The sequence below is a fragment of the Homo sapiens genome, chromosome 2, assembly GCF_000001405.40.
Source record: "Homo sapiens chromosome 2, GRCh38.p14 Primary Assembly".
NCBI classification, from domain to species: domain Eukaryota; kingdom Metazoa; phylum Chordata; class Mammalia; order Primates; family Hominidae; genus Homo; species Homo sapiens.
Window position 1 is genome coordinate 233,446,622 of NC_000002.12, and position 18,294 is coordinate 233,464,915.

At 54.9% G+C, this 18,294-nt stretch overlaps 1 protein-coding gene across 18 annotated transcripts in view, besides 1 other annotated feature; it reads left to right on the forward strand.

Annotated features, from left to right (window-relative positions):
* Positions 1 to 18,294, forward strand: part of DGKD (diacylglycerol kinase delta) — a 117,605-nt gene that overhangs the window by 92,128 nt on the left and 7,183 nt on the right. For 13 of the 18 annotated variants that reach the window (NM_152879.3, XM_047446097.1, XM_017005138.3 and 10 more), the window contains 16 exons: positions 91 to 175; positions 1,466 to 1,560; positions 1,655 to 1,754; positions 2,482 to 2,755; positions 3,361 to 3,510; positions 4,301 to 4,429; positions 5,343 to 5,439; positions 8,142 to 8,252; positions 10,278 to 10,374; positions 10,600 to 10,707; positions 11,663 to 11,776; positions 13,136 to 13,270; positions 13,573 to 13,724; positions 15,727 to 15,838; positions 16,022 to 16,114; positions 17,543 to 17,662. In NM_152879.3, the coding sequence (NP_690618.2) occupies positions 91 to 175; positions 1,466 to 1,560; positions 1,655 to 1,754; positions 2,482 to 2,755; positions 3,361 to 3,510; positions 4,301 to 4,429; positions 5,343 to 5,439; positions 8,142 to 8,252; positions 10,278 to 10,374; positions 10,600 to 10,707; positions 11,663 to 11,776; positions 13,136 to 13,270; positions 13,573 to 13,724; positions 15,727 to 15,838; positions 16,022 to 16,114; positions 17,543 to 17,662 (1,972 nt within the window). The other 5 variants (XM_011512033.4, XM_047446102.1, XM_047446103.1 and 2 more) reach the window with 5 other exon arrangements.
* Positions 4,074 to 4,637: an enhancer, noted in NCBI's record as "H3K4me1 hESC enhancer chr2:234359341-234359904 (GRCh37/hg19 assembly coordinates)". NCBI's record gives its function as "activates a minimal SCP1, AML or CMV promoter by ChIP-STARR-seq in primed H9 embryonic stem cells {active_cell/tissue: H9 hESC(primed)}" and the evidence as "EXISTENCE:reporter gene assay evidence [ECO:0000049][PMID:30033119]".

Here is an 18,294-nt window from a genome sequence, read left to right on the forward strand (position 1 = left end):
AGGCTGCCAGCCGTGAAAGCGGACGGCGCAGGGTTCACCCTTGTGGGCCTGCACGTCTTGCCGCCTGTGCAGCTGACCTTGTGTGTGCAGGTGGAGCGTCATGGCATACGAGGCCAAGCTCCCCCGGCAGGCCTCCTCCTCTACCGTCACCGAAGACTTCAGCGAGGATTCCGAGGTATTGCTGGCCTGTTCTTCACACCCTGCTCGCATGCTGATGTGATCAGAACTGTCCTGTCAGCGGTTTGCATCACCTCCCTTGCAGAGACGCCTCCCCTTTGGTGTTGGGGTGTCACAGTCAGGCCTGCGGAGGCGCAGGGTGAACCCATGGCTGAGAGGATTCTCACTCCCCTTGGCAGGGGCCTTTTGGGCTTTGTGACCCTCTAGGGGCTTCCTGGGGTTGTCATAGGCCCTGCCGGGTGGTGGGGTGGTCCTCCTAATGGCCTTTCCACCCTGTCCGTGCATCTCCTCAGCTGCGCAGTGAGCCCCAAACGGTGCGCGCCCGTTCCCTCCCCCGCCGCGGTGCCCACGTGCCTGGAATGCTCTAGCCGGCTCTGCCGCGGCTCTCCCCTAGCCCCCCGGCTCCTGCCCCGTCCCACCTCTCTGTGGCGTCTGCAGCTGCCCTTCGCTCAGGCTCCTCTAGTCCAGCTGGTGGTTCTTTTCATTTGGTGATTGTTACTGTTGTGTTTAACGCTCCTACAGTTTCCCTCAGAGAACAGACTTTGTCTTTAGTTTCTATTTTGTGCTGGTGCAGTGCTGGGTGGGGTAGTACAAAGAGGTGAGCTTTTGTCAGGGGCTAGGGCAACGGTCAGCAAACAAGGCCTGCAGGCCAGATGTGCCTGGGCCCACGGCCTTGCAAGCGAAGACTGGTTTGTACATTTTTTATTTTTCCTTTTTTTAAAAAAAAATTTTTTTTTTGAGAGGAAGAGTGTGTGGGGGAAGCCCAGAATATTCGCTGTCTGGCCAGTAGTGAAGTTTGCGACCCTGGGGCTGGGTCCTAAGGACAGCAGGGATCCCACAGGGATAGGGCTGCCCTTCTGACAGCCAGAACAGATGGTGGGGGCAGGAGTGTGTGTCCAGATGGGGCTCACAGCCAGGTGGAAACAGCCTCTGCTGCAAACGGACCCAAACCTGGAGCCGACCCGCCAGCATGCCGCTGTCAGGATGAGTAGGGGTCAGGACGGAAGCTCCTAGCACAGGCCGTGCTGGGATCGCAGACTGAAGGAGATTCATTTGCAGTTTGCCTGCAGCTTGACGAAGCTTTTAAAATCTCTCACCTAGCACTAGGTGAGTCCCAGATTAGCGTTAGAAGTGAGTTGAGGCTTGGCTGGGTCAGACAGTGTCTGTTAGGAGAGACTCATCTTTCCCAGCTTGTGCTGGCAAGGAAGTGGCTGACAGAGTCACTGGGACTGTCATGGAGCTTGCTGTCACAGAGACCAACAGTCCTGGCCATTTGGGGTGATTGCAGGTACAGCAGATTCTCTTCTATGAAGACTCGGTTGCAGCCCACCTTTCTAAAATCCTCACCTCGGACCAGCACTCGGTGGTCATCTCCTCGGCCAAGTGAGTGCCTGGTGGCCCTGGGGAGGGCATGGTGCCCTGGCCCCCAGCCTGGAGCTGCCTCTCTAGAAGGGTCTTTCTGTTTTTCTCCCCACAGAGTGCTCTGTGAGACGGTGAAGGACTTCGTGGCACGGGTGGGGAAGGCCTATGAGAAGACGACCGAGAGCTCGGAGGAGTCAGAGGTCATGGCCAAGAAGGTCTGTTCCCGTGCCCTGGGTGGGAGGGGCATTGAGGCAGCGAGAAGCTTGCTCTGTCACCAGCAGAGGGCCGTGACTGCAGGTTGTCCAGGTTCTTGGTGATTTGAACAAAGAATTAGACAAAACGCACAGTAAAGGAAGACAAGAATGAAGCAACAAAGAACGAAGGCAGGGATTTATTGAAAATGAAAGTACACTCCACACTGTGGGAGCTGCCCGAGCAGCGGCTCAAGGGTCCAGACACAGAATCTTCTTGGGTCCAAATACCCCCTAGAAGTATCCCATTGGCCACTTCATGCTCACCTCATGTAAATGAAGTGGTAGCTTGCATTCAGTCTGATTGGTGGCAGAAAGCAGCCAACCAGAGGCTGAAGTGGTTACAAAGGTCACACTCCTGTGCAAACATCTGATTGGTTGCAAAAAGCAACCAATCAGAGGCTAAGGTGAAGTTACAAAGTTGCATTTCTATGCAGACTAAGACTCAGCTCGCAATCAGTATGGTTGGTTGTGGACAGCCAATTTCCCCAATTTCCCACCTGCCAGGGCGGGAAAGGTGGGGATTTGCAAAGGGAGTAGCCTCTGGTCTTTTTGTTACTTAGGCGTGGAGAGTTAGGATTTTCCTTTTGATCGAGTTCTAGGAAGTCTGGGTGAAATGGCCTGAGGTTCCCTGCCTGCAGACCCTGTTCTCCTGCCTCAGCTCTGCATGCCATTTCCTTTCCTTGTTCAGTGCTCTGTCCTGAAAGAGAAGCTGGATTCCCTTCTCAAGACCTTGGACGATGAGTCCCAGGCCTCGTCCTCTCTGCCCAACCCGCCCCCCACCATTGCCGAGGAGGCTGAAGATGGAGATGGGTCGGGCAGCATCTGCGGTTCCACCGGAGACCGCTTGGTGGCATCAGCTTGCCCGGCCCGGCCGCAGATATTCCGGCCTCGAGAACAGCTCATGCTGAGAGCCAACAGCCTGAAGAAAGCAATTCGTCAGATCATAGAACACACAGAAAAAGGTAACTGGCCTTGTGATGAGGAGGGGCTTTCCTCAGGCCAGCACTGGGCATGCCCAGCGTCCCCTGAACACGGAGATGACAGAAGGGTGCATGTTGAGAAAACCTCCACTGCGGCCCTCTCCACCCATGTCCAGGCACCAGACCCCCAACGAGTTCGCTTGCCCTCCTTCCACCCCTCCTCTCACACCCTCAGACCCCTTCATGCTGCCTCCCCTCGACCTCTTTCCTGGCCCTCATTGACTTCACTATAAGCGTCTCACTCCCGTGAGAGCCTTGAGGTCACGGCCTCACACCCGCACACCTGCGTGTCCATGCAGCCGCTCCTCCCGCTTGCAGCCCTCCAGCCTGCGCCAGGCTCCTCTGCATCCCTTGCCTTCCCCTGCAAGGGTTCCAGACCTCCCAGCCTGTTAGCAGGGACGCCCTGCCCCAGTGCCAGGACCAGGGGGAAGATGGGTGGGGGTGGGGTTTCGGAGTCCAAGCCTTTAGCCAGAGGTTGTTTGAGGAAGATCAGGCCGTGGGGTGAGGATGAGGGGCCCTCCACCCAGCCTGACAGCGCCCTTGGCTTTGCACCCGCGTGCTCAGCCGCACACACTCTCCTTGCACAGCTGTCGATGAGCAGAATGCCCAGACCCAGGAGCAGGAGGGCTTCGTCCTGGGCCTCTCTGAGTCAGAGGAGAAGATGGACCACAGAGTGTGCCCACCACTGTCCCACAGCGAGAGCTTCGGGGTCCCCAAGGGGAGGAGCCAGCGCAAAGGTACTTGTGCCTCCACCTCCCTCTGCGCACCGTCGTGTGCTTGGTTTTGGTGAGACGTAGCGGGCTTGCCAGGGGAGGTTTTAGGGCACTTTCTCATAGTTGCTTTGGCCACTTGGTTACATAAAAATTGAGCGCCCAAGGCCTGTTTCTGTGCATCTCCTGTGCGCGCCCTTGAGGTGGGTGTGTGCGGTCTGTCTTGGTGGACAGCAGTAGAACCCGCGAGACCCCCTCCATCAGGGCGAGGACTGCCTCCCTGAGGAGCACTTGCGTCCTGCCCTCACTGCTTCCTTGGAACCACACTGGGCCCCAGAACTGCTCAGAAGGGGCTGTGTCTGGCAGAGGGAAGGCGGGTGGGTGAGCGTGGGCCTTCTTTGTCCTTGCCCCTCCTGGAACAGCCCACAGCGCAGGCCCTGGTGGAGGGCACCCCCAGCCTGTGCAGGCTGCTGGGAGGCCCATGCTCAGAACTGACCCATGGCCACTGCATGGCCACCACTGAGAGCTCTGCTGTGTGTGTGCTCCGCCTCCCACAGCCCGGACTGACTGGGCTCACCCCTCCCTCCAGCGCTGCCACCTGTGGCCTGTGTTAACCTCTCCATGAGCCCAGCCCCCCAAACATGTGCACCCACTCGGTCCTCCGCCCCCTTCTTTGTCCCACACACTTCACGCAACTGCCTGTGGTTTGCAGCCCTCCCTCCTCAGCCCTCCCACCTGCTCGTGTCGCTAAGGACCCCCCAGGATTTCACAGTCTCTATTCCACACAGCTGTAAGGTTTTCTGCTGTGTTGTTACAGTGTCGAAATCTCCGTGTGAAAAGCTGATCAGCAAAGGGAGTCTGTCCCTAGGCAGTTCTGCTTCCCTTCCGCCCCAGCCGGGAAGCCGGGACGGCCTGCCTGCGCTCAACACCAAGATCCTGTACCCAAGTGAGTGGCGGCCAGCAGGAGGGACTGGTGGGGGCCCTAGCACAACACTGGTCCCGTCAAACTGAAAGAGATGGGCTCGCTGCCCTCGGAGAGTTTACAGGCCCCTGAGAAAGATAGGTGGAATTGAAAAATTTACACGACTGTATGAAAAGTGCTTTTTTTTTTTTTTTAAAAACAAAAAACAAAAAACAAAAGCCAGATAGTACCCAAATAACCACCCAAGGAGCCCAGGAGGCGCCATTGAGGAGGTGATGCTCGAGTCGGGGTTGGAAGAATTAAGGAATTATCTGAGTGGAAAAGGGAGGTGGCCGGCCTGATGAGGGAACCCGAGGGACCATCCCGTGCTTCTAGCGTGGTCGCAGGAGGCGCAGGGAGGGTGAGGTCCTGGCCGCCTGGAGCATTCCTTGATATTCATTCCTTAGGAAGGCAGCCTTATAAAGCCTTAAGCCTCAACTCTCAGAGATCATTTTGGTGGAGTGGCTTACATTTAATGAGAACATGAAAACTGACTCTATAAGCCTTTTTTTTTTTTTTTAAAAGAGGGTCTCTCTCTATTGCCCAGGCTGGAGTGCAGTGATGTGGTCATGGCACACTGCAGCTTGACCTCCTGGACTCAAGTGATCCTCCCCACTCAGCCTCCCAAATATCTGGGACCACAGGCACACACCTTAGAAGCCATTTTTTTGTGTGTTTTGTAGGTGTTGGTTTCTGCCACCCAGTATGGTTTCTTTGTTCCAGTGATTTTTGACCTAAGACTATTGGCAAAATTTGGACATGGTTATACATAATTTTAGAAACATTTAATTATAATAACGTTCTGCAGAATACCGGTCCACCAGCTTCAGAGACACGAGCTTCTCCTAAGGCTGTAGCTCCTGACCAGCACCACCTCTTTCTTGTATCTCCTTTACAGATGTCCGGGCTGGAATGTCTGGTTCCTTACCCGGTGGCTCAGTCATCAGTCGCCTGTTAATTAATGCTGATCCCTTCAACTCTGAACCAGAAACCCTGTGAGTATGAGGGATAAACCGAGTGGGCATATTGTTACATGGCTGCTAGTGCATAGAAAACAGATCTCAGGATTAACTAGAGAAATTAGTGAGCAGTTGCCCAGCTGGTGGTAGCTGATAAGGAAGGCTGAGAAGTCGTGGAGATTCCACTTAAGGAGTGGAGCTGGAAACCACTACTGCACATCTGCTGCAGAGGCAAAGCGCACGCCTCCCATCTCCTTCCCAAGGTCCCACGGTGCTTGCTTGACGTCCCCTGAGCCTGCATGCCCTTCTGAGGCTTTTCACAGGCTCAGCTACTCCTGCCAGGAGCTGCCCTTGTGCTGCTCTTCGTGGTCACTCTCCCATGATCTTGGCTGGACCTCACTGACTTCTGCTTACAGCCTGCCATCTTCCTCTTGCCATCCCTTCCCTCTGCTTTCCTCTAACACCTGCTCTCCTTGTTGGTGATGCAGAACCACAGACTCTGAGCTGGAGGGTCCTCTGTGTGTCTCCCTTGTGTCTCCGAGCACCTTAGGGAGACACTAGCCTGTGCTGAGGCTTATAAGGGCTGCTGCGTGCCTGCGTGCTGATACTGCTACTCCTTGGGGGACAAGGCCTTCTTCCTCTGCTGGCCTGTAAGGCAGTGAGGACATGTATATAGCAGTTTAATGCAGTCTTCCTAGGTATTGGAGTCCATTTTGGAGACAAGTGGTGTTTTGAAAACCTGTTTTTCTGCACTCATCTTTATGCTGGCTGATTGCAGGTTCTGGGCAGCTGGTGGCAGTTGGTTAAATGTGGCCAGCCATTTTTCTGGAGTGGTGACGGACAGTGACAGGAAGAAATGTGCGGTTCACAGAGGCTCTGGGTTTGGGAAAGTGGACCCCTAGATTCCAGGTGCTGGCCTGGTACAGCACTTCAGTGTCCCTGTTCCTGGCCTGGTCTACTCCTCCCCTGGGGCTGCGTGGGGCTCCAGTTCTCAGCCCTCCTGAGGCTTTTTTCCTTGGGGAGGCCAGAGCTGTAGTCCTATAGTGAGCACTGTCCCTAGAGGCCCCTGAACTGGATATCTCCTTTGTCTCCTTCATCTGAGACTGGAACTTCCACTTCTGTTGCTCAGCTGGGTGGTCTCATCTCTTCTTTTCACCTGGGGAGACAAAGCTGTGCTTTGCTGCCTTCCTGCTGTGGTGTGTGCCTGGGCCGTATTGTGTGGGCCCCATTGTAGCTGGGCCTGAGCAGCCCCTGGTACCCTGTCCTCTCCCACTGCCCCAGCCACTGCCGCCCCTCCTGCTCCAGGCCCCTGAGCCCAGTCTCTGCTGCCTTCCCTCATCTCTTTGTCCTGTTTCTCTCCGTTGGATCTCTCTCTTTTCCCAGGACCTATACATGCTGGCCAGGCACTTGGTCTTCCCCCTGGTAAACAGTTTTGTCCCAGAGCTTTGCTCTGGCTCAGCTGTCGGGCACTTGAATTAGATGGATCATAAATACACTGACACATGCTGGTTGTTCTCAGATCTGGCGGCACTGGCTCAGTAAGCTAAAGTGTGTCAGAATTCTGGCCCGAGCAATGTTCCCAAGCCCATCCACCCATTGAGTTTCTTTGGGAACTTCCAGAACATCCTCTTCTCCTGGCTGCAGCCTCTGGGTGGAGGAACAGGGGTTCCTCCCTTCATCCACTTGCCCTCGGGGGGAAACCCCAGTGTGACCCTGGGGTTGGGGAGGGTGAAGGCCAGGCTGGGCTTTCCCAGCAGCTGGGGGAGCTGCAGGAGCAGGACTTCCAGCTGGGTGGGGAGAAGAAACTTGAATGAGTCTCTTCTCGTCTGTCGCACACGGGGAAAAGGAAGCCTTGTGCTGTGGGGCTGGGATGGATGTTTTCAAGTCATTTTCCTTTTTAATTTGGCAACAGCTTTGCTTGTAACTAGGGATGTTTGAGAAATGTTTTGAGATCCAGAGTTGAAATGTGTGAGTTTCTGTGCCATAAACATATCTTCAGGTTTGGTGCTGCTGGTGGAGTGTAAGATGGGCAGCTGCTGTGGGGAATAGTCCAGCAGCTCTGCCGGAGGTTCAGCCCAGAGCTGCTGTGTGACCAGCAGGCGCAGAACTGCCGGGCCATGTGGGATTGAACTGAAAACATGTCCACGCTAGAAGCTGTATGCAAATGTTCCTAAATGATAACCAAAACGTGGAACATCCCAGTGTCCGTCTGCTGATGAGCAGGTCAATAGATGCAGGTTAGCCACGCAGTGGAGTATTATTTGGTAATAAAAATGAAGCGCTAACACATGTTATAACATGGATGAACTTTGAAAACATCGTCCTGAGGAAGAGAAAGGAGCCAGACACAGAGCCCACGACCGCATGATCCCATTCCTGTGAACTGCCTAGAAGAGGCGCCTCCGTGGAGGTGGAAAGTAGACGAGAGGCGCCAGGGATGGTGAGGATGGAGAGTTAGTTGCTGATGGCAGGAGTACAGGCTTTCTCTTTAGGGGGATGAAATGCTCTAAAATCGATTATCTAGTGATGGTTAAATGACTCTGAATATACTAAAAATAATTGAATTGTACATTTTAAATTGGTAAATTATCTAGTGTATATCTTAATAAATCTCTTAGCAGACAAAAAAGAAAAAGTTACCAGTTTTCCCCAAGGAAGAGAAATGCTGAGAGGTTGGGAGTCTGAAATAAGACTGCTCAGCAGGGCTGTTGTAATTGATTTAAAACTCACCTTTGCAGAGAGTATTACACGGAGAAATGTGTCATGAACAACTATTTTGGCATTGGCCTGGATGCGAAGATATCCCTGGACTTTAACAACAAGCGCGATGAGCACCCAGAGAAGTGCAGGTAGGTAACAGGCTCAGGAGCACGTCTGTCTTTTGCGTCTTTGTGGCTTCTCCTTCCAGACAGTAGCAGATTTCTGGAGTCAGCAGGTTAAAGAACGTGCAGAATGCTAAGGCGGGGGGCAGAAATGGAGCCCAGATCGCCTTGTCAGAAGCACGGGTGCTTTCAGAGATGGAAGGGAAGCACCTCTCGGGCTGGCCAGGTCAAGGGAAATTCAACATCGGAAAACCAGTGATGGTGGTCATTGGAATGGCGGCATCTCTTAATGAGAGCCCCAAGTCCGTGATACTACAGAAAAGCGGCAGGTGTGCCAAGAAGCTATTGCACCTATTGCGTAAGTGCCCAGCATTGTTTGTGGGAGGGTCTGTGTGTTCATCACCACCCTAGCTGGCCCTCCCCCATCACACCCGAGCCTGCCCACAAGGCCCTTGAGTCCAACCTCTGCAGGAAGACGGGAGCGTGGGAGCCCCAAGGGGCATCACTGGGGGTTTCAGTTTTTTTCCTCTAAAATTACTGGATACTCAGTCCTGGCCTGAAGAGAGGATGGAGAAAAATGAGAAGGGTCCCTCTTCTCAAGCTTTTCTTCCTGGGCTGATGTAGAATTCTCTCTTGTCTGTGAAACACAAGAAGTGAGGGAGAAATGTCTCCCTCCCCACCCCACAGTAATAATCAGAGAGGCCATTCAGCTTTGACATGATTAGAACTACAGAGAGGGAGAAATGAGTGTGGGGGTTGACGGTGTTTGTGCAGAGAACAGCCCTTGACCCAGAAGCTGGGAGACCCTTGCTGGAGTCTTCGTCCGCTGAGTCAGGATGGGCTTGAATGAACCAAGCCACGTGGCCCCCTGTGGCCTCGCCCTCCTCATGGCGTCACTGCCACCTTGCGGGGAGCCATGCTGACACCTGAGGGTCCAGCTTTAGTCATTGCTCAGGTTACATGTAGTTGAAAATTTCTAGGAAAACAAAAGCATCAGAACTGAAAGAACTTTTGACTCTGAGGCTCTTCCATGCAGGAGAAAATGGCTCAGGGGCCCCAGGGACATATCCCTGTACAGCACAGGATGGTAACGTCAGATCATTTAAAAATCCCTGTTAGTCCAAAAATCACTGGGAAAAGTATTAAAATACACATACTTTAGCAGGGTAAAATAAGTAGTTGAGGAACAGGGGCATGCATAATACATTTCTAGAGCTTTGGAACCCTGGTCAAACCTCTCTTGAGTTTGTATTGAGAGCTTTGAAAAGTTCTCCTGAGAAAAATTCCACTTGTACAAATGTCATTGGAAATTTCTGCAGAAGTCATTGGAAATGTTGGTTGACGTAGGTACGAAGGGACTCCTAGCGTGTCATTTCCAGAGCTCAGGCATGGGGCGGAGGAGTGTAATCAAGGGGATTGGTTCGATAAGCTGTGGTAGAGCAGTGCCCGGCTGAGGATGGCCACATCTGCAGAGAGCGTGTGGCCACAGAAGGAAGCATTGCCGGCGCAGGGTAAAGTGGACCAAGTAGGTCGTGAAACTGTAAACAAGTTACTGCAACTGGAAATTAATATGCAAAGAAGACTGAGGAAATACATAGCAGCACTTGGCATTTGTCATTAGCACGTGTGGAGGGTGCCTACAGGTGCTGGATTATGCATGGAGGATTATGAGGAGTGTCTTCTCCTTGGTGCTTTTCTATATTTTCCAGTTTTTCTATGGTAAGCATAATTTTTTAGCCAGAAAAAATCAGGATGTGTAGAAGTTTTTTTATAGGGTTCTATAATGTTTTAACTTTATGTATTTACCTTTCAGGGTATGATTACTTTCTTGGCAAAATGTTACTATTGAGCAAAATTTCCTATTGGTAAACGTATCTTTTTATGCATATCTGCAAAAACAAAAATGTGTCCTTCAGATGTTACTGCTGTAAATAATTGCTAAATGTAGCTGATTTGTGGGTCAGATGCTGTTCCCAGCTTTCACAGAAATGACTCTGGTTAACTATACGAAGAAAGCCCAGACCTATGGCAAGTCTTTGCTTCTGTTTCTAGGAGCCGAACCAAGAACATGATGTGGTATGGAGTTCTTGGAACCAAAGAGTTGCTGCACAGAACCTACAAGAACCTGGAGCAAAAGGTCTTGCTGGAGGTGAGTGGGAGGGTCCTTGTCACCTGCAGGCTGGCCTCCATCCATCAGCAGACTGCCAGGCCTATTGCTTCTCCTGTTGACCATTTCCTCCATGCACAGGGACTTGCCTGGGGATGCCCTGGCCACGGCTGTGCTCCTGAGCCCCTGGCGGTGGGAAGCTGGTAGAGAAGGAGGGGCTGACTCATACCTTTCTCTTTTCTTTTGTTCTGTGTCTCTGCTGCTCAGTGTGACGGGCGACCCATCCCACTCCCCAGTCTTCAGGGAATTGCTGTCCTTAACATTCCCAGCTATGCCGGAGGAACCAACTTCTGGGGGGGTACCAAGGAAGATGATGTATGTATGGGGTGTGAGCGGGTGGGCCTGAGCTCAGTGGGGAAGAGCTGTCTGAGAGCAGGGGGGTGTTCTGCTGTGGCTGGGGTGGATCCAGCTCTTCTGTTGTGCCAGCAGTGGGGTTGCCGTGGAGAACAAGATAGACAGGGTCCCCCACCCAGCTCATCGTCTAGAGGGCTGAGCAGAGCAGTTGTGTCAGTGAAGGTGGTCAGTGAGGGTCTGTGGTCAGCAGATGTGGTCAGCGGGTGTGACGTGGAAGGAGGGTCAGGGAAGGTGTCTGGGAGGCCAAGACCTGAAGGATGAGTTGGAGTTGGCTAAGTTAGGTGGGCAGAGGAGAGGGGGAGGCTGTTCCAGGCAGAGAGAATTGCACAGATGAAGGCTCAGAGTCAAGACAGGGCAGGCACATGGAGGATGGGAGAGAGGTGCCCCGACTGCAGTGGGCAGCAGGGGCGTGGAGAGACAGGAGAGGGCTGCAGGGCCTGGGTCACACTGGGCTGTGTGAGCTGGGGAAGAAGTTTGGAATTTGTGTTAAGAACTGTGGGAAGGTGTTGATAGGTTTAAACCTGGTTTAAACCTTCCTTTGTACGTAATAGCGAATAGAAGTATTCAGCGCTTCCTGCACACGTGGTGTGTGCTGGCCCCAGTCCTGGCACTCTGCAGCGTTAACTCACTTGGCCCTACTGATGGCCCTGGAGGAGCGTGCCGTTAGTTTCCCCATTTTACGCATGAGGAAATGGGGGAGAGAGAGATTCAGTAACTTTGCCGAGATGAGAGCTGGGATTTGGTCCCAGGCAGCTGGTTTCAGGGCCTGCAACATGAAGCCCGTCAGGAGTGCAGTTACCTGGTAACTTCTCGCCAGCTAGGAGGGGCTGACCCCCAGAGGGAGGGAGTGAGGGTAGGGGCGGCCTGTGCTCGGGGATGTGTGGAGTGGTGGTCAGCTCTAACGTGTCCCTTGCAGACTTTCGCAGCTCCATCATTCGATGACAAGATTCTGGAGGTGGTCGCCGTGTTCGGCAGCATGCAGATGGCCGTCTCTCGAGTCATCAGGCTACAGCATCATCGGATCGCCCAGGTAGTGGCCATGGTCCTGGGGTGTCTGGCCGAGTCCCCAGCCCGGAGTGTGCTAAATTCTGGGGCAGTGCATGGAGCCTGGGAGGGTGGGCGCTTTCCAGGGCCATGTGGCTGCCTCATGTCCTGTCCTGGACAGCTCGTGGCCCCACTTCCTGGGCCAGAGCCCTTTCCTTGTGCTATGCTTGACAGTTAAATTCTCAAGATAACTCTTTTTAATTTTTTTTTTTTTTTTTGAGACAGAGTCTTGCTCTGTTGCCCAGGCTGGAGTGCAGTGGTGCAATCTCGGCTTGCTGCAACCTCCACCTCCCTGGTTCAAGTGATTCTCCCGCCTCAGCCTTCCGAGTAGCTGGGACTACAAGTGCCCACCACCATTCCCAGCTAATTTTTGTACTTCACCATGTTGGCCAGGCTGGTCTCGAACTCCTGACCTCAAATGATCCACCCACCTTGGCCTCCCAAAGTGTTGGGATTACAGGTGTGAGCCACTGCACCCGGCCAAGATAACTCTTTCAAAATGTGTATCCTGCTTGAACCACAGCCTTGCCTGTCCCCTCTGAGGTGGGATGAGATAGAGCAGACCCAGGCTGGACTCTGCCCGTGTCTGCAGCTGTCAAAGCCGCAGTGGGGACGGAGCCCATGGCTCTGATGTGGGGTGTGGGAGGATTTCCAGCTGGGGCCCTCGATCATGGTTCTGAGGCCGAGTGGTGAAGGGCTGGGGGTGCCCCCATGGCTTATTTCTGACAGCAGCGATGGGCTGAGGGCAGTCTTTCTGTGAGGATGGGGCAGGACTCTGTACCCAGGCACAGGCACTGGGGCGGGGGAGGGTGCTGATGACACCCACTGGCTGAACCCCACCCTGCGACTGTCTGGTGTCTTCCAGCACTCTGTCTACCCTTAGCTGTAGGCTGCTTGAAGTTCACAATTTTCACTCTTTGGCAATGTTTGTTGTTGAAAAGGAGGAACGGGATGATGATGGATGGCTCATCGTCATCCACTGTGCCATCTGCTCTTTTCTAGGGGTGTTTTCACGTGGCAGGGGCCCAGTGGCTTCTGGGAGCTACAACACCCCTGCCCCTGGGTTCTGACACCTGTTGTCTCAGCACCAAGGTCTCCTGCACTGACTGCTCAGTGAGGGGATGGGGCGGGATGGGGCGGGACAGTGGGAGAACAGACCCTCGGTTGAGTGACACAACAGCAGAAGGCTAGCTGCAGGCGGAGCGCCATCCCAGAGGCAGAGGTGGGGTGTCCTGCAAGGCAGGGACGGGTGTGTGGAGCAGGAAGGTCATGGTGGTGCTGATAGCACTTTTAAACCCCTGGGGGTTTTGGCTCAGCATGAGTAATGGCTATGATGTCTGCTCAGTGTCGCACGGTGAAGATCTCCATCCTTGGGGATGAGGGCGTGCCTGTGCAGGTGGACGGAGAGGCCTGGGTCCAGCCGCCAGGGTACATTCGGATTGTCCACAAGAACCGGGCACAGACACTGACCAGAGACAGGGTAAGAGCGGCTGCCCGCGGTACCTGGGTGGGGTACAGGGCTCACCTGTGGGCTCTTGTGTGCACTGTTAAGAGCTGGAGCTTTTTGTGTTTTGTTCTAGGATTTTTTTTTTTTTTAAGACACAATGATTAAGCTAATAGGGCAGTAATTTCTAGGACCATCTCCTTCCCCTAATGTTAAAAAAAAAAAAAAGTCCTATTTGTCTCTTTCTAGTTGTGATCTCGTTGGCATCCCCATAGTGTCTGTCGCAGTCAGATGCATGCTTCAGAGCAGCAGGTGTAATTGGGCTTTCGGGTCCATAGGCATTTGAGAGCACCCTGAAGTCCTGGGAAGACAAGCAGAAGTGCGAGCTGCCCCGCCCTCCATCCTGTTCCCTGCACCCGGAGATGCTGTCCGAGGAGGAGGCCACCCAGATGGACCAGTTTGGGCAGGCAGCAGGGGTCCTCATTCACAGGTGGGCTCCTACCCCTCTGCGTTGCGCATGAGCCTCCCCCAGGGTCCCTGGGACTGCACTCTTCCAAGGCCCCTGGGGCGTGGAGCTGCTGCTCCTGACTTTTGTGGGGTCTGCATTACCCATGAGGGCCGAGCCTGTTTATGTGCCCTCAGCTCTGGCTCATTTCCCCAGTGGTCTTTCAGAACTCGCCTGGAGTTTACATGGCTGGAACCTAAAGCCCACTGTGATTTTCAGGACCACTCGTTTAAAACCTGCCCGGGCTCAGCCGGGCGCGGTGGCTCACGCCTGTAATCCCAGCACTTTGGGAGGCCAAGGTGGGCAGATCACAAGGTCAAGAGATTGAGACCATTCTGGCTAACATGGTGAAACCCCGTCTCTACTAAAAATACAAAAAAATTTAGCTGGGTGTGGTGGCGGGCGCCTGTAGTCCCAGCTACTCTGGAGGCTGAAGCAGCAGAATCAGTCGAACCCCAGAGGCGGAGGTTGCAGTGAGCCGAGATAGCGCCACTGCACTCCAACCTGGGCGACAGAGCAAGACTCTGCCTCAAAAACAAACAAAACAAAACAAAAAAACCCTGCCCTGGCTCCCGAGGGCAGCCCGCTGACAGCCGCCTTCACTTTGCCCTCGTTTTACCCTGAGAACAGGCTTGCTCTTTGTTCTCAAGTTTACTTTAAAAAAAAAAAAAAAAAAGACAACTGCTGGGGCATTTCCTCTCACCTGCCTTCTAGAAACACCCCTGGAGCCACTGTGTCCCTCGTGGCTGGTGGTCAGCATTGTCTGCCATTCCTGCTCCTCGCCCGCCAGGTGCGGGTTCCGCCTGTGAGTCCCTCCCAGCCGGCAGCTGTGCTGCTCCGCCGGTGCGGGGCCTGCCTGCATTCTCCCCCCGTGGCCGCACGCTGGCTGGTGCCCTGGTGTCCCTTTCTTGTTTCCCCTGGGCTCCTTCTTCTCCTGGCTGTGGACAGGTGCACCCGTCGGTTTTGTGCCCGGCATGCCGTGTGCCCTTCCAGGCAGCCTGCCCAGCCCTGGCGTGCAGATGGATCGTCTGTGCCAGCCTTCGGCTCTTGTCGAGCAGGTGGTCGCTGTCCCAGTCATCACCGGCGTTCCTCGCTCTGCACTTCCATACCGGCTGCAGTCCTTCCTGGCGCTGCATTCTCTGCCCCAGGAGTTGGTGCCACTGCGGCCCCTGTCCTCGTCTCTCCCCCACCCCACCCAGATCAGTGATGGGGCTGGAGGACTTCAGTTCAGCTAATTCCTTGCCGTGCAGTGGGCTTCTGGTGGCCTCCCCTGGAAAGCCATTACCCTGTCCCCTCAAAGCCCATGGTGGCCCCTCTGGCCTGCCTGGAAGGTGCACTTGCACAGCACTGCAGGAAGCTGCTGGCAGCGGCCTGTTTCCACAGGGTCAGGACAGGCTGGCCCCGCTGCCTTTGCTTGCACTGCTCCTATAGTCTCTGTCCCCCGATCTCACCTGCCTGAGCCACATCTCAGCCTCCCTGGGACCTGGTGTGACTTGTGCTCTCACCGTCTTCCCTATGAGGGCTGCTATCTGGGGTCTGGCTCAGAGCCCATCACTGCACCAGGATTGTCCTGTTCAGATGAGGGTCCTTTTGTCCCCAGGGACAGACCGGCCAGTTACAGGTTCCAGCAAGGCTGTGGGGATTGTGCCTTACTGCAGCAGTCTCTGCAGTGGGCCTGTGCACACTGTCACTTGCCCACTGGCCGTTTTACAGGTTGTAAGCCTCATTTTGTACATTTCTCTCCCTGGAAAATCTTGGATTTTGACGTCAGATTTCTCGTGGAAGCCCTCCCATTTGCTGTGGGTCATCCTGTGCCCAAGCTTGTGACTGAACGGTCGCTGGGCTGAGCCACGATCCCTGTCGTCCTGCTGGGCCTGCCCTCCACATCAGCCCTCCAGGTGGTACCTGGGCCGTGTTCAGATGCGTATTGTGAAAGGCTGCCCTTCCATTTGGCCTGACATCTGCCCGTGCTTCTCTTCCTCTCTAGTATCCGAGAAATAGCTCAGTCTCACCGGGACATGGAGCAGGAACTGGCCCACGCCGTCAATGCCAGCTCCAAGTCCATGGACCGTGTGTATGGCAAGCCCAGAACCACAGAGGTAGCTATTCTGGCCTTTTCAGTCCTGGCTTCTTCTCAGTGTCTGCCGCCCTCGGCCCTCCCCGTGCGTGTTCATTCCCCCGCCTCCCCGGTGCATGTTCGGCCCTCCCAGTGCTTGTTCCCTGCCCCTAACCGTGCATGTTCGGCCCCCCGCCCCCATGCATATTTGCCTGGTTTCTTCTAGGGGCTCAACTGCAGCTTCGTCCTGGAAATGGTGAATAACTTCAGAGCTCTGCGCAGTGAGACGGAGCTGCTGCTGTCTGGGAAGATGGCCCTGGTAAGCTGGTGCCCCAGGGACAGCAGGGCTCGGGCTGTGTGTGAAACGACTGCTGTCGCCAGGTTGCTGGGCACACAGGGCAGCACACTTTAGTCCAGAGTTCCCGGTCTTAAGGAATGGGCCGCAGAGGTCATTTGGTTTGTTGTGCGGCTGGTGCCCACCCCTGCTGGCAACCCCTCAGTCAGGTTGTCTCAAGCATGCGAGAAGCGCTTGCAGCGGAAACACCCTTGTCGTCGTGGACAGAAGATGCTTTTCTGCCTTAGAAGCCTGTAGTGCAGAGTCCTGCTCCTGCCGAGAGCTGGCCACACTCTCAGGCACCTTCCATGCTCAGCCCTGCAAAACCGGCTGATATGGCAGCTGTGGGGCTGTTACTGAATCACAGGGGCTAGAACAGGGAGAGGCCTGAGAGACTGACTGGCCAGCCTTCTGGTTTTAAAGATGAGGAGGAAGGGGCTTGATAAAGATTGGGCAACTGGAGAACCGCCCCAGGTGTGGTTTCCCAGCCCTCCACTCCGCACGCCACTCACCTCCTCACTGCACGCGTCTCCTCACTGCACGCATCACCTCACTCCACACATCACCTCACTCCACACATCTCCTCACTGCACGCATCTCACTCCACACATCACCTCACTCCACACATCTCCTCACTCCACACATCTCCTCACTCCACGCATCTCCTCACTCCACGCATCTCCTCACTCCACGCATCTCCTCACTCCACGCATGTCCTCACTGCACGCATGTCCTCACTGCACGCATGTCCTCACTGCACGCATGTCCTCACTCCACGCATCTCCTCACTCCACGCATCTCCTCACTCCACGCATCTCCTCACTCCACGCATCTCCTCACTCCACGCATCTCCTCACTCCACGCATCTCCTCACTCCACGCATCTCCTCACTCCACGCATGTCCTCACTGCACGCATCTCCTCACTCCACGCATCACCTCACTCCACGCATCACCTCACTCCACAGAAATCCTCACTCTACGCATCTCCTTATCCCATGCCTCCCCTCGTCCCACGTCCCGTGGTCACACGCGTGTCCTCACTGCACACCTCCTGCTGCCTCCTGCAAGGTTCGACTGCTGACTTTGCTTCCCACAGCATTTCCACTGCTTGACACAGGTGAATGGCTCCGACCCCATTTCTGACAGAGGGACACAAGCAGGTCAGTTGTCAGCCTTGCTCTATGTGAATTCATCGTTGACTGATGGACAGTTTTATTCTCTCACCAGCACTACTTAGAAAGTGAGGTTCTGGGTTTGGTTCCTTTTCTGGTGCTCTGGGACTTCGTTTCTGGAAAGTGAGCTCCCTGATCAGAGCAGAGCAGAGCCCTGGAGCGGACCTCACCCCCCTGGGCCTCGCGCTGATCAGCAGTGCACACTCTCCATTTCTCTCTCCCTCCCTCCGCCTGGAGCAGCAGCTGGATCCGCCTCAGAAGGAGCAGCTGGGGAGTGCTCTTGCCGAGATGGACCGACAGCTCAGGAGGCTGGCAGACACCCCGTGGCTCTGCCAGTCCGCAGAGCCCGGCGACGAAGAGGTATGTGGCTCATAGGGCTGTGCCTGGGTCTCCCGGACATGGTGGCTCTCGCCTGAAGTGCCTGTGTTCCTTGTGACCCGTGTGGCTCTGGGATCAAGATCGTGTCGCTCCGGCAGCCCCTGAGGGGCCTTCTCCAGACTTCGCTATTAAAATGCTCTTTAAGGCAGGGAGGGACAGCAGGTAGGAAGGAGTTCTGGGCTGGGATTAAGAGTGCCCCTTGAGGACCAGGGACCTGTTGTCCTCTGAAACAGAACTGCAGGGCTTCCTGGACAGTGGGTAGAAGGAAGGCTGAGCCCAGCCCCACAGCCTCCCCCGAGGGTGGAGATGTATCATGGGATAAATGGCAGCCTTTTGGGATCCCGCTGTGGACAGGGCGCAGTTGGTGTGCGCCACTCCCCACTCACACTCTCTTCCTGTGTGAACAGAAAGACTCCAGCTCGTCGCAGGTCTGGGAGGGACCCGAGGACGCAGGGCATAGCGGACCCTGGGGTGGAGTCACATTCTTCTGCAGGGAGTGCTGGCTGAAGGAGCCCTGGAGAGGGCCGTGTCTGGACAAGGACAAACCCCAGCCTGTCTCTTGGCTTCCCTGCTTCAGAGATAGAACACAGAGGGGCCCTGAGGAAAGCTCATCT